The sequence below is a fragment of the Homo sapiens genome, chromosome 2 (assembly GCF_000001405.40).
Source record: "Homo sapiens chromosome 2, GRCh38.p14 Primary Assembly".
Classification (NCBI taxonomy): domain Eukaryota; kingdom Metazoa; phylum Chordata; class Mammalia; order Primates; family Hominidae; genus Homo; species Homo sapiens.
In genome coordinates, this window is record NC_000002.12 from 137,877,751 (window position 1) to 137,891,617 (window position 13,867).

At 40.7% G+C, this 13,867-nt stretch overlaps 1 long non-coding RNA gene across 1 annotated transcript in view; it reads right to left on the bottom strand.

Moving 5' to 3' along the window:
* Positions 1–1,003: 1,003 nt before the first annotated feature.
* LOC101928273 (uncharacterized) overlaps positions 1,004–13,867 on the bottom strand; it is a 49,179-nt gene continuing 36,315 nt past the window's right edge. Inside the window, exon 3 of the long non-coding RNA NR_120402.1 lies at positions 1,004–2,101. This is a non-coding gene — a long non-coding RNA (uncharacterized LOC101928273). The remainder of the gene's footprint in view (positions 2,102–13,867) is intronic.

Sequence of the window (13,867 nt, forward strand, 5' to 3'; positions counted from 1 at the left end):
ATGAAAAAGATATTGTATTTTGAACCCTTGACATTCTTGTTTACAGAATTGGCATCAGCTATTGTCTTAGTCCATTTAATATTGATATAAAGGAATACCTGAAGCTGGGTAATTTCTAAGGAAAAAAGACTTATTTCGTTCACTCTTCTTACAGTGGGAAAGTTCAAGATTGGGCATCTGCATCTGGTGAGGGCCTTAGGCTGCTTCCACTCATGGTGAAAGGCATCAGCCAGTACAGAGATCACCTGAAGAGAGAGGAGGCAAGAGAGAGAGGGGGAGGTGCCTGGCTCTTTTAACAATCAGCTCTTGTAGAAATTAAGAGGGGGAACTCATTCACCCTGAGGGAGGGCATTAATCCATTCATGAGAGATCTGCTCCGATGACCTAGACACTCTCAATAGGCCTCACCTCCAACATTGGGGATCCAAGTGAAACATGAGGCAAAGGACAAACTTCCAAACCATAGCAGCTAGTTATATCATCTAGAACATCCAGAAGATATCTGATCACTTACAAGTACCCTGGTTTCTAGTCTTCGAAGCCATGTATTGGGACACATTGTAATACGTGGTACCTTCCAGTTGTTGGGGTTTTTGTGATATACAGAGCTTTTGAACATTTTTTCAGGTTTAGAATAAGTAACTGTGCATCAACTTTGTAATCTAACTTGGTGCCCTCCTGCTTTGACTGAAAGTCTCTCTTCCTGATTCCATCATAGACAAAACTGAAAGAAGCCACAGAACACATTTGCTTTGGCATTTGTCAAGACTTCCTAACTTTTTAAGTAAAATAAATTTTAAAGCAGAATAAAAAAGTATTTGACTCATGGACTCTTGAGAAATCCAGTATATGATCCAGTGTCTTCACAGTGTGACTATAATGTCAATTAAACTTAAGAGGAATTAACAAAATCTGTAGTTAATTCAAATGTGATGTGGAGTAAAAGTGACAAAAGCAAGTGACAAAAATATCATTTTATTTAAATATGAAACACAATATAATATATTTTTATTGATAACTTTATTATGAAATTATGAAAATATGCACATTGAAAGTATGAACACCAAGTTTGTAATATTGGGGCAAAGGGAGATCTAGATGTGGACAGAAATCTGGAAATGGTTTTACATTTTGTAATACGCTAAAAAGGAATATACATCTACTTATGTATTTGTGTGAGTATGTGTATGTTTGTATGTGTTCCGAGATAGCACATATAGTTATGTATAGTAATTACACAGATAGATTGATAGGATTAAGAGTATAGGCTTTTCAGCCTGATTTGTTGAATTTGAAGCCTCTTCTCCTAGCTTTGGGGAAAATATTTGGGAGCAATATTCATTATCTCTTTAGGAGAGGATTAGAATTCTCTACCCCATTCATATCTATCTTCTCCTTTCAACTTGCTTTGATCAATGAACTGTGAGGGAAATTGACATCTGTCTCCTGAGCAAAATCTTGTGAAACCAGCATGTCCTTCACATTTCCCTCTCCTCCTGTGTTTGTGATCATGGAAACAAGTGGAGATAGAGCCTCAGTCAGCTTGGATCCCTGAGTCATTATGATGCACAAACTCCACTGCAATGCACATGTAGCATGCGTGAGAAATGAGGCTTTTGTGTTTTAAGTCACTGAGGCTATTGTTTTATATACAATTGTAGCATAAGCTAGCTTAGTCTGACAGATACAGATGCATTGCTATTGTACTTTTTACATGTCTAAATTAGAATAAGTTTAGAAGACTGGTGTGTTGTTGCTAAATGAATATAAACTCTCATGCATTGTTTTCCAGCAATCAGACCTTATCAGATCTGAGCACTTAGGATACAAATACATGCATTTCAGTCTGTTCTCAAAGTGTGAATAAAGTAGGGGGTGAAGAGAAAAGTAGTCACGTGAAAAAAATAAATAAAAATATGTTTTATAACAGGATGTTAAGTGCATTTTCTTCAGTGATGTCCGTTATTCTTTTGATACTCCACAGTAAGGACAATGGGCATTAGCTGAAGAGGACAGACCATCTCATCTGACTTCCCAGTCGGGGTGGTCTCGGAGCTGATTCTGCAAACCTTAGCCCATAGGCACCTCCAAACAAGAGCATCTGCAAAGAGGAGGCCAGGATATTGAAGAAATGAAATTGGTGGGGTTTTCCTTGAAGAGAATTGTGGGCAAATTGTGCTCCTCCCCCTTCCTTGGACCCCTCCTCCCCCACCACCTCAAGAAGAGTGAAAGCGGCATCCAAAGAATGGCTTAATGAGCAGAAGCCGGGGCCGGGCGCGGTGGCTCTTGCCTGTAGTCCCAGCACTTTGGGAGGCTGAGGTGGGCGGATCACAAGGTCAGGAGATCGAGACCATCCTGGCTAACAAGGTGAAACCCCGGCTCTACTAAAAATACAAAAAAATAAGCTGGGTGTGGTGGCGGGCGCCTGTAATCCCAGCTACTCGGTAGGCTGAGGCAGGAGAATTGCTTGAACCCGGGAGGCAGAGGTTGCAGTGAGACGAGATAGCGCCACCGCACTCCAGCCTGGGCTACGGAGCAAGACTTCGCCTCAAGAAAAAACAAACAAACAAAAACCCAACAACAACAACAAAAACAAAACAAACAAACAAAAAACACCAGAAGCCCTGGAGTTGAGGAGACAGGAACAGGGCGTGACTCTTGTTGACTGGAGTCCTCTCTGTGAAAGAAGTTGGAGTGTTTTGTGTGATGGAGCGCAGGCAGAACGACATGATCAGAAGAGTCCGTAATTCTATAGAGAGGCAGAGGTAGTGGGATTTTCGTGTAGGAAGAGTTTATCTCATGGGAGGTAGCAGTACTGTAGACATCTTAAGAGACTCAGCCCCAGAGAACTGGCTCCGGGTAAGGTGACTGAGAGCCGCCTGTGCCAGGGGCACTTCGGGAAGCGTCCGCCCTGGGGGACTCGGTGCCCTGGGAGGCTGTCCCTTACACAATCACCATCCAAGGGGTGATTAAAGGGGCAGAATTTGGGAATTTTTCACAGAAGCCCCAGTCCAGAAAGATCTGGCCTTTTCTTCAAATCCTCTCTCACTCCTGTGCCTGACCTTAAGGTCAGCTAGAAAGCAGGTAAGACTGGAATAAAGAAAGAAGAAAAGTGGATGTGCTACTCCCTACTCCTCTGCAAGCCTGGAGAGCCTCGAATCAAGCCTGGGAGTGGGACGGGGAGCTGGAAATGAAGTTATTTTAGACTAGGTTGCACTTTTTTCCTTTTTTTTGCAAACATACAATGCATAAGTCAAGAATTCTAAATGTACAGCTGGATGACTTTTTTCTTATCTCCACCCATGTAAACCCTAGCCAGAACTTCTCAGGAAACAAACAATAACCTGACTTCTATCACTTTAGATGGCTAACTCTTCTTGAGCTCTCCATAAACGGAATTATGCATTATGAAATCTTTTGTGGCTGGCTTCTTTCCCCCTACATTATGTCTGTGGGTGTCATGCTGAGGGTCGTGTGGTCGGCAGTGTATTTTTACTGCTGTATAGCTCCCCGTGGTGGGAATGTATCACCACTGGCTTATCCATTCCATTAGTGATGGATGGATTGTTTTTAGGCTTTGACTATTAGGGATTAAACTACTATGAACATATTTGTATGTGTGCTTCTCACGGGTAAAGTGCATAGGAGTGGACTTGCTGGGTCACAGAAGACCACATTGAACATTCGTAATGTAGGGAAAGGCAGTCTCATACTCACCCCCACTCAGCTACGTAAGAATGGGCTTGGGCCTGGAACACTTCCTTATCAAGAGATAGAGTCCTCGCAGCTTGACCTGGGCTTGTCACCTTGTGTGGGACTATCTTTCCCTGCTTCTGAGTCAGTGTGTGCACTCCTTTGTTCTGATTAAGTGAATGTATGAATGGTTCTCCCCAGCTTTTCGTATTTCAGATCCCACAGCTGCGGGAGGGAATGGGAAAGGTGGGTTTTGGGGAGGGGATTCTTTTACTGCAGCATAAAGTGGGATGCCTGCAGCCATACTGCCCACCTTGGCTTTGGAGTGGATCTGCTGCCTATGGGGGACTGGCACGTTTCAAGGGACTGGATCTTGTAAACACTCTCTCTCTCATTTTGGTGTAAGTAAACACTGTACCACTTGAGCCTGCTAGGCGTCTTGTCTGCTCTCAGTGACCTCAAATCATGCACTGGTCTCTCCCCTGGGCGGCGCTTCTTCCCCTGTTAACCTTGACCACATTTGACCACATTCTTGTGATAGTCTATCCTGCAGCACAACCTGACCACCCAGTGAACACTGAAACAAGTAGATCCTGCTAAACAATTTTCCTAGGTTCATGTAAAACTTTATACTGTAGTCAGCAGTGTATGAGAGTTCCAGGTGCTCCACTTCCTCACATATTAAATTTTACATTGAATAGTCTTTTAAGTTTGAGTCATTGTGTAGTGGTGTCTCATTGCATTTCCCCAATAAGTAATGATGTCGTATTGACCGTGTGTGTGTGTGTGTGAGTGTGTGTGTGTGAAGTTCCTTTTCTAGTCTTTTGACCACTTTGACCATTTTTATTGAGGAGCTTCTTTTTATATATTCAGGACACAAATCCTTAGTTATATATATAGTAATTTTCCCCAGTGTGTGCTTGAGATTTTCACTCTCTAAATGGGTGTCTTTTGATGAGCAGAAATTGTGAATTTTAGGAAAGTTTAATTTATCAATTATAGTTATAGTTGTGTACAGTTTGGAAAATCGTTGCCTATCCCAATGTTATAAAAATAATGTCCTATGTTCTCTTTTAAGAGGCTACATGATTTTACATTTCTCACCAAGGTCTCAGATCTAGTTGATGTGATTTTTGCAAATCACAGACTCGCTTTTGTATAGGGTATGAGGAGGGGTCAAAATAAATTTTTCCTCATAGATATCCAGTTGATCCAGCACCTTTTATTGAAAAGGCCATTCTACACACTAAATTGTAGTAGTTCTTTTGTCAAAAATCAGGTGACTATATATAGAAACGTCTGTTTCTGATCTGTTTTCTGTTTTATTATTCTGTGTGTCCATGCTTGTTCTAACACCTTACTGTTTGATGTACTTTAGCTTTATAGTAAGTTTTGATATTTAATCATGTAAATCCTCAAACTTTGTTCTCTTTCAAAGTTATCTTGGCTATTAAATTCTTGGTATTTCCAAATATAGTTTTAAAACAGTGTCAGATAATGCTGCTTTTGTATTACTTAAAGGTGAAATACTCAGTACCTGAACACAATGACAAATTCTATGATCTGAAACTAACCTCTGGGTGTGGGAATTTGAAAGTTAGTGGATAAAGAGAGTAGCTATGTTTTCTGCTTTCATCTCACTAAATCTAGTTTATTTAACAATCAGATTGCAATAACATAATAAATTCTATAGTAAGATTGTATATAATTAGCTATATATTGGAAGAGGAGGAAAAAGTTATAACTGTGAGTGCTGATGAAGCTAACATTTTACATGCATTTTGAAGTGTGAATAAACATTAAACAGGAAGAAAGGGCAGGAAAAGAAATGTACTTATTTCATGGAATAAGATGTAAGAGATGTGAAAGAAAAATATGAGAAATGTAATCAGTAATGCTTTAAAAAAAAGAAAGTAGGGAAGCCGTTAATCTACCGTGGCTGTTACATTGATGTTCAAAATGAGAACTAAAGCCATATTCAACTGCAGCCTCCCACACTTTTATCATACTTTTCTTATATCTGTTCGTTCTTTCTTTCTTCTTTTTTTTCGGAGTCTCGCTCTGTCACCCAGGCTGGAGTGCAGTGGCACGATCTCGGCTCACTACAACCTGCACCTCCCGGGGTCAAGCGATTCTCCTGCCTCAGCCTCCTGAGTAGCTGGGATTACAGGCACGTGCCACCGTGCCCAGCTGATTTTTTGTATTTTTAGTAGAGATGGGGTTTCACCATGCTGGCCAGGCTGGTCTCAAATTTCTGACCTTGTGATCCCACCCACCTCAGTCTTCCAAAGTTCTGGGATTGCAAGCATGGGCCACCGCGCCCAGCCTTGGATCTGTACTTTCTAACAGAGCACCACAACTAGCATTTCTAACAAATGCTGCAAATCTTAAAGACAATTGTGTTCAGCATAATCTAAGAATACAGAGCATAAAGGCCTATTTTAGAAAAAATATTAAAAGCATAATGTTAAAATTCAACACTTATTTTTAGAACCTACTGTGTGCCAGGCACTTTAAAAAATTCTTTTAATACAAGGATGAGCAAAATTGGCGAAATCTCTGCCCCTGTGGAGTGACCATTCTAATGAAGAAAACAGTAAGCAAGTTAAGAAGCAAATGCATAGTATAGTGTTAGGTTGTGATAAGGGCTATGAGGAAAAAATGAAGTGTGGTTGAATATAGAATGACACAATGTGTGTGTAGAGAGAGTATTGTTGGAGAGAAGGCTCAGACGTGAAAGAAATGATGAAAGAACCACACCAATATCTGGGGCAAGAGGGAATAGCCAATCAGAAGCCTTAAGGTAGCAAGAGCTGGGAGGTTTAATAAACGTCAAGAAAAATAGTGCAAAAGTGATATAGAGTGGCAGAGGGAAAAGTAGTAAGTAACAGATACAAAAGATGAGCAGGACCTAGATTCCCTGTGGCCTAGGAGATAATGATGAAGACTTATGGATTTGTTTCATGTGATGAAAATCTGTTATAGAATTTGAGTAGGAAATGATGTGATCTGATCTATGTTTTTGAAAGAATCGTTTTGGCTCTTGTTTGGAAAATAGCCAGGGATTGAGGTGGTGAAAAAAAATAGTAATGGAAGTAAAGGGAACAGTCAGAAGTGACTGCAGTAATTTAGAAGAGAGATAATGGAAGCATAGCCTGGGGTAGTAGCTACAAAAAAGGTGAGAACTCGATTTAGGATGTGTTGTGAAGATAAAGTTGACAGGCTTTGCCAATGGAATGGACGTGGAGTGTGTAAGAAATAGGGAATCCAGGCTGATTTTTAAATTGAGGGCCTGAGCCACTGGATAGTTAGAGATGATATTTCCACTAAGACTGGAAGTGAGGGGAAGCACCATATTTGGGGCAGGGAGGAATCAAAGTTTCTGTTTGGAGTGGTTAAATTCAGAATGCTTCTCAGGTGTCCCAGGAGAGGTGTTAATTTGGCAGTCAGGTGTCTGAATCTGCACACAGAGGGGAGGTCAAAGCTGGACGTGTTAGTTTAGAAATAACCAGCATTTGGGTAAGATTTAAACCTATGACATAGGATAAAATTATCTAGAGAGAGCATTTACTCAGACAGCTCTCAATATTCAGGAACACAAGCCTAGCCAGACTGGCTCAGGATAAATACAGTTTTATGTAGAAGATGAATAGGTGTCCATGTAGAACCAAAGTGAAGGCACAAATAAATACAAGTCTATCATCTCTCTTGGTTACACAGAGTACATGAGGCAGTAAAGGATAAGGATTAAGCTCTCAACATGTGAATGTCTTGAATTCAGACTTCAAACAGAACTGAATTTGAATCTGTTTCCCACCAGCCAAATGAGGGTTTGGTGACGATGACCATGATGATGACAATGACTTACATTTCTTAATGTTTCCCCTATGTGTGTTGGACTTTTAAACTTGATCCAGTACAGGTAGGAAAAGGAAATTCACATTAGTTTTTATGTGAGATATATATATATATGACACACATGTATATACACCACACACATATACACACACACACGCACACACACACACGCACACAGACAGAGACGGGGTCTGTGTGTGCTGCCCAGGCTGGTCTCAAACTCCTGGGATCAAGTAATCCTCCTGCCTAGGTCTCCCAGAGTGCTGGGATTACAGGCATGATCCACTGTGCCCTGCCCTAAATATATATTTTTATATAGCAGGAAATCAAAAAAGAACATGAGGATTACAAATTTTAATCACAGAGGGAAAGATTTTGTGAGATAGCATAATTTCATGTTCAGACAGCAAGTCTTTAGCTAATTCTTTAATTAAAGCTGTGACAAAACCATTTTTTTAAAAAATGTTTTTGTGACACCTTTACCTGTGAAGTTTTGAAAGATCTGCACTTGGTAAATTTAGCATCGTTTAATTTTTCTTTTTCCTACAGTAATTACAAAATTCTGGAGGGAGGAAAAAAATGTAATATTCTCCAGGAATGAGAAGGGAAGATAATACTTTGAGCTATACTAGACATAATCATTTTTGTACATGCACTTTCAGAAGAGGTCCCATGCTGTGGACTGAAGTTGAAATGAAACACAGTAATTGTCTCCAGCATTAAATACCCATAGGCATATTTTTACAAGAACATACATTAGTATATGCCTGCTAGATACATAACAATGTGTGAGTATATTTTAAGAGAATCTTAATATGACTAAAAAATAGCAATCAAATTGTTCACAATTTCAGGCTCAAAATTGAAAAGAAGAGGAAATTTTTTTACTAAAAAAATTATATACACAGAGACAGTGATGCGAAGTTGAGCACTAATGCAAATTAGGATGAAATATGAGAAGTAATCAGTTCCAACCATTTGCCTAGCTTCTCCTCACTTCTGCCCTTCCCTAGCAGGGGTGAGCTAAAGTTTTTATCTCGTATGGAGATGGGAAATGACAGAGAGTGAAAGGCTAGTGGGAAAGTTGCAGGCACCCCCTTCTCTAAAAGCAGGAGGCTGTGGGTGAGTACTGCAATTTTGTTTTTCTAATTTGTTCTTGAGGTTTCTCTCTGGAAAATGAGTATGAATTCTAACCCTGCATTGACAGGGCTCCAGTGATTTGGTCATGGATGTCTACAGTGACTTCTTTATCCTAGTGGATGGCCTAATGCCTAAGTGTTGCCTAATGCCTAAGCGTTCAACCCATGACCAGGTGTCCCACTCACAGGAAACATGCTTATACCAGCAGGCCCCCTTGTGGCTCTTGTCTGACCTATGCCCAGTTTATTTCTACCAAGATATCCATTGTGTAAGAGAGCTTTCCCTTGGAAAGAAGTTAGATTCAGGTGTGTCAGTCAGATGAGATGCAGAGGAGGCAATGCAACTAAAACCATATAATAATAGAAGGAGTTTATTACTTACAGATTAGAGAAAAGGGCAGCCCTCCTTGTAGGGCCAATGGGTAGGGGGAGCCATTCTAGACATACATGCTCAACCAGAACCAGAAAGTGGAGAGCAAAAGAGAGAGTGAGGGGCCTGTGTGCTAAAGCTTTTATTGGACTCCAAGATATTATCCAGGTGGGTTTCCATGGGAGTTCTAATTTGCAAGTTTAAATTAGACAAGCTGGTGCAAAACAAGCTGGTGCAAGTTCTATGTGGCCATGCTGTTAACCGAGACGTTGTCACTGCAGCATATCTGTGCAGTCTATGGGGGATGGAGGAGTCAGTGGGGTAAGCCAATAGGTGATATCTAGCTATCTTTTAGGGAAGATGGTCAACAGGGGGCAATTGTATAAGGCACATATCTGGATTACCACATTAAGGAACTGGGATGAAATAGAGAACTGGAAATTGTGCCAAGGGTGACTAAGCCCTGTTTCTTGTATGAGAAAGTCCAACTTATATTCAAAGTGAATGCCAAGGCAACATAAAATTACAGGAATTCACTACCATGCATCCCCATGCTCCTGAATTTTTAAGTCCAAACTCCCTATATCTAGCTGATAATATGGGTGCCAAGTAATATGGAAATTCCTGGAATTTCTGCTGCTAATTGGAAGTCCCAGCCCATTTCATTCAAGGTAATTTATCTTTGGGTCCAATGTCAGCATTTTATGACACTTAGATGCTCTCATCAAAGATGTGTGTATGAAATGGCTTAAGGAGAAAATAGACACAGAACAGCCTGCCTTCGCCCTGTAACAGGGCTCTCAGGTAGGTCCAGCCCACCCTGGGGCTTGGAGTGATTTCAGATACTCTGAATGCCTCTGGTTCCCAAACTGCCATGGGCTTGCTGGTGGAAAAAAACAGACCTTGATACCCTTACTATGAATTATATATATGATTGGCTAACTGAAAGCAAAACCATAATGGAACATGACTGCAGACAGGTATATATTCTCCAGGGGGCCCGTGTTTCGTTGGGGCAAACACATCTCACCAGGTGAATGGCCTCAATGGCTGGAGGCAGCATGAACTCTAGACTTTTGGATACTTGGATAATTTATTAGGAACAACGGCAGACAGAGTTGAAGCTAGTCTTTGAGAATATTCCCTACAAGCCAGCACAGACCAAAATCTTTCAGGTATAAAATTCTCTTTTTTCTTACTGTAGTATATCTTTGGCAACAGGGGTACACAGATCATGGAAAACTTAAGAATGTAAGTTACATTTTAGTAGCTCCATTTGCTTCCAGGAGTAAGGTGGAATATATATGTGTCCGAAGAGCTTTCTTAATTGGATGTAAGCTTACCCTGATCTACTTTAGTCCAGATTCCTTGTTATTAAGCTTTTTATTGCTGCAGCATATTCTCTAAATATAATTTACTCATGATGATAATTAATCAACATTACAGAAGAAAGCTATAAATGTAAGGTGATAATATAAAATATATATTTCTATGTCATATATTACATAGTAAATAAAACACATACTAAATCAAAAGTAATATAATAAAATAAAAATAGATATAGGCTAAAATATATATGTACACATAAACATTTAGTGTAAATGTGCATATAAAATGAGAAAAAGGAAAAACATTAAAATAATACTGTAGGTAGGTAGGGGGATTGTTTAATTTTTCACATATTCCAAAATCTTTAATTACTATTTTATAACTTACACAAATTGTAGAATAACTTCTCTTGTTTAGTAACAGCATAGAGGGGAGAGAGGGGAGTAAAACTGGCAGAAATGGGTATGTTTGATCAATGTTGATCCTTCAAACTACAGTGATCCACTTCTGAGAATGAGGAGCTCACATTTAATGAAGGAGTAAGCCAGGTTCTTACAGAGTATGAGATTCAGCTTCTCCTATCATGACGCGGGGTCAGGCTCTGGGCCAGGAGAGCAATGGCCAGCTTTGGAAGCCATATCTCAGGTCACATTCAAAAGCACACATTTTCAAGTCTTTTCCTAATGCTGCTTTTGTCACATTAGAATGAAATTTGCCCTCTGAGTTGAAATATTCTATAAAAAACACAATCTTGCTTAAGTTAAAATTTAAATTTAGCTTCTCTGACAGCTGGGATGTGAAGAGACAGTGAAGAGATTCCGACTTTTGGCATTGTCAGCAGTTTCCCCTGAGAGTGGAGTTCTGTCTTTCTGCAACCTGCAGCTCTCGCTTTCCTGCTGTGACTGAGCCAGTGGGATCGTCGGCCAGGAGAGGGCGGCCTCACCCAGTGAGACATAAATCCAGAAGCTCCCTATGAAGGCACTAGGAAGGTGAAACGCAATCATCACCTACACTTGCTCTGCTTTCTGCGTTTTCAGCATTCCACCTTAGAGCGTCAGGCTTAACTTTGGAGGTGTTAAATTTCCATGTGTCCATGAAACACTACAAGTATTATTTCAGCAGCTTGGAGAAATCCCAAATACAAGTCAGGAAGTTACCTCCGTCAGAGGCTTGCGGCCTCACCCTTGCATTGGGTCTCAGAGAAAGCTTCCTTTCTGTAAGACATTCCAATCATCACACTGTGGCTAAAAGGCCAAATATAGGAGAGATATTTGCCCAGATATAGCAAAGCTGATGTTGGTTTGCCTAGGCAATTTAATAAATGATGATTGTATGCAGGTGTTGGCTAAATAGCCGTAGACTACATAACTACATAACTACATAAGTTAGATAACTTATGAGGTCTGTTGGAGAGATTGGGAAAGTGGGTGTGTGGGGATGTTTGGCACAGCTTGGGGCTATGGCTATAAGAACCTGAGTCTAGGATTTGCCATAGAATATTCTGTAAGCAAAAAAGACACCTACTTCTCAGTTATAATTCTCATTAGGATTTTTGTAACTTTTTTTTAAGCTGTGAAATCCACAGCTGTGTAACTCTGAGAAAAATCAATTAACCTGTCTGAACCTAGGTTTCCTCAAATACATTCAGTCTGCACTCCCAGGACCTCACTTTAAGAGAAACCTGAATCTCTTGAGCACAAGCATTTGGATGGGTGTTATTCCCTTCCTGCACACCTGCTGTGCTTCAAAGAGAGAACTTATGTAACCTTTTTCCTCATGTATCCCTGCTTTGAAATCTGTAAATTTCTATCTTTCTCTACCCCTTTCTGATTTCTTTTGATTATTATTTCCAACTTCATTGATTCCTTCAAACTACTTTCCATCCACTAAATATTTCTAATGAGCCCCGTAAATTTTTCTTTACCACTGTGGAAAAATGTAAAATACTTTTTGTTCTCAACAAAGGATTGCCAACCCCATCTAGCAGTAAAAGGAAGAAGAAAAAGCGTGACACATTAAAAACAGTAAGCATTGATTTCTCTGGCTCTACCTACAGACCTGTTACCATGAGGCCTTTAGTCCATCTTCACCGCCGCTTCTCCTGCGTTTGTCTTTTAAAGTTTCAGGGGACTCTCACAAATAGGGTCTTACTCAGAGCCTCCTGCTGCTGATGATTGGCATTGTTGAGCCAGTGGGGCTGGTTCCTGTGGCTCCTCCTGGCCAGTTGTCCACTGCAGGTGTCACGGATCCAAGAATTACCTCTGCTGGGCACCTCCCTCCCACAAAATGGCACCCTGCTTCCAGGACATGCTGAGTCCTATCTCAAGGCATTCTTGGTCTTCCCTTAATGTTCCAGAGTAATGTTTTATCTAAAACATTCCTGTGTTGAAGCTCAGTAAATGTCAGCACAAGTGGGCAGAAGTGTATTGCTTTGGGTAGTGAACTCTCTCCGTGCTCTCCCCAGACCCCTTCTTATCAACTTTACCAGCCATGTGCATGCATCCTGTAGCTTCTCTGTGCTTTCTTCCAAATGGTCTGCCCCTGTGACCTTCTTCAGAGGCTGACCTTGGGCCAGTCCAACCCTCCCAGAGAGAGCCTGGAATGCCTGGTAGTGTAGATCTGTCTAGGGAAGCCTATAGCCAATGACTGTGCAAGATTCTGAAAGCCTAACTCCCTTTCCTCAAAATGGGGCAAATTCTGACATAATTTATGGTCTAGAGCTCCCCAAAAGGTCTGGCTGAGGCCAGGGAGTTGGCTAAAATTGTGCCTTTCTCTGTTCTTCATTTCCTTTTCTCTTGCATTCTTCTCCTGGCCCTTAATAAATACCTTGTTCATGATCTGTGTCTCAGAGTCGGCTACTGGAAGTCCAGCCTAAGGTATTTGGTCAGGAGGGCACAGATGATTTTTGGAGGCAGATTCTGAGGATGGGATTCTAGAATTAAGTCACCAGCTAAATGGCAATAAATACCCCATCACAGTGGGTATATGGAGCCCAGAGGTGCCCTGACACACTAGAGCATTGCAGTTGCTAAAACTTTCACCTGGAGCAAATTAAGATAATGTTACGGGTTGAATTATGTAACCTCAAAAGATGTTGAATTTCACCCCCAGTACTTGGGAATGTGATATTACTGGGAAATAATACATTTGCAGATAATCAAGTTAAAATGATATCATTAGGGTGGGCCATAATTCAATATCACTGTTGCCCTCACACAAAAGTGAAATTTGAACACGGAGACATACGTGCTTAGAAGAAAGATGGTGAGAAGACACAGGGCATCAACAAGAACAATTAGAGGCCAACGGGGAGGTCATGGAACAGATTCTTCCCTATGGTTCTCAGAACCAACCTTGCCGATACCTTGATTTTGGACTTCTAGTCTCCAAAACTGTGAGGCAATAAATTCCTCATGTTCTATGCCACCCAATTTATTGTATTTTGTTTTAGAAGCTCTAGGAAACTAATACAGATGGG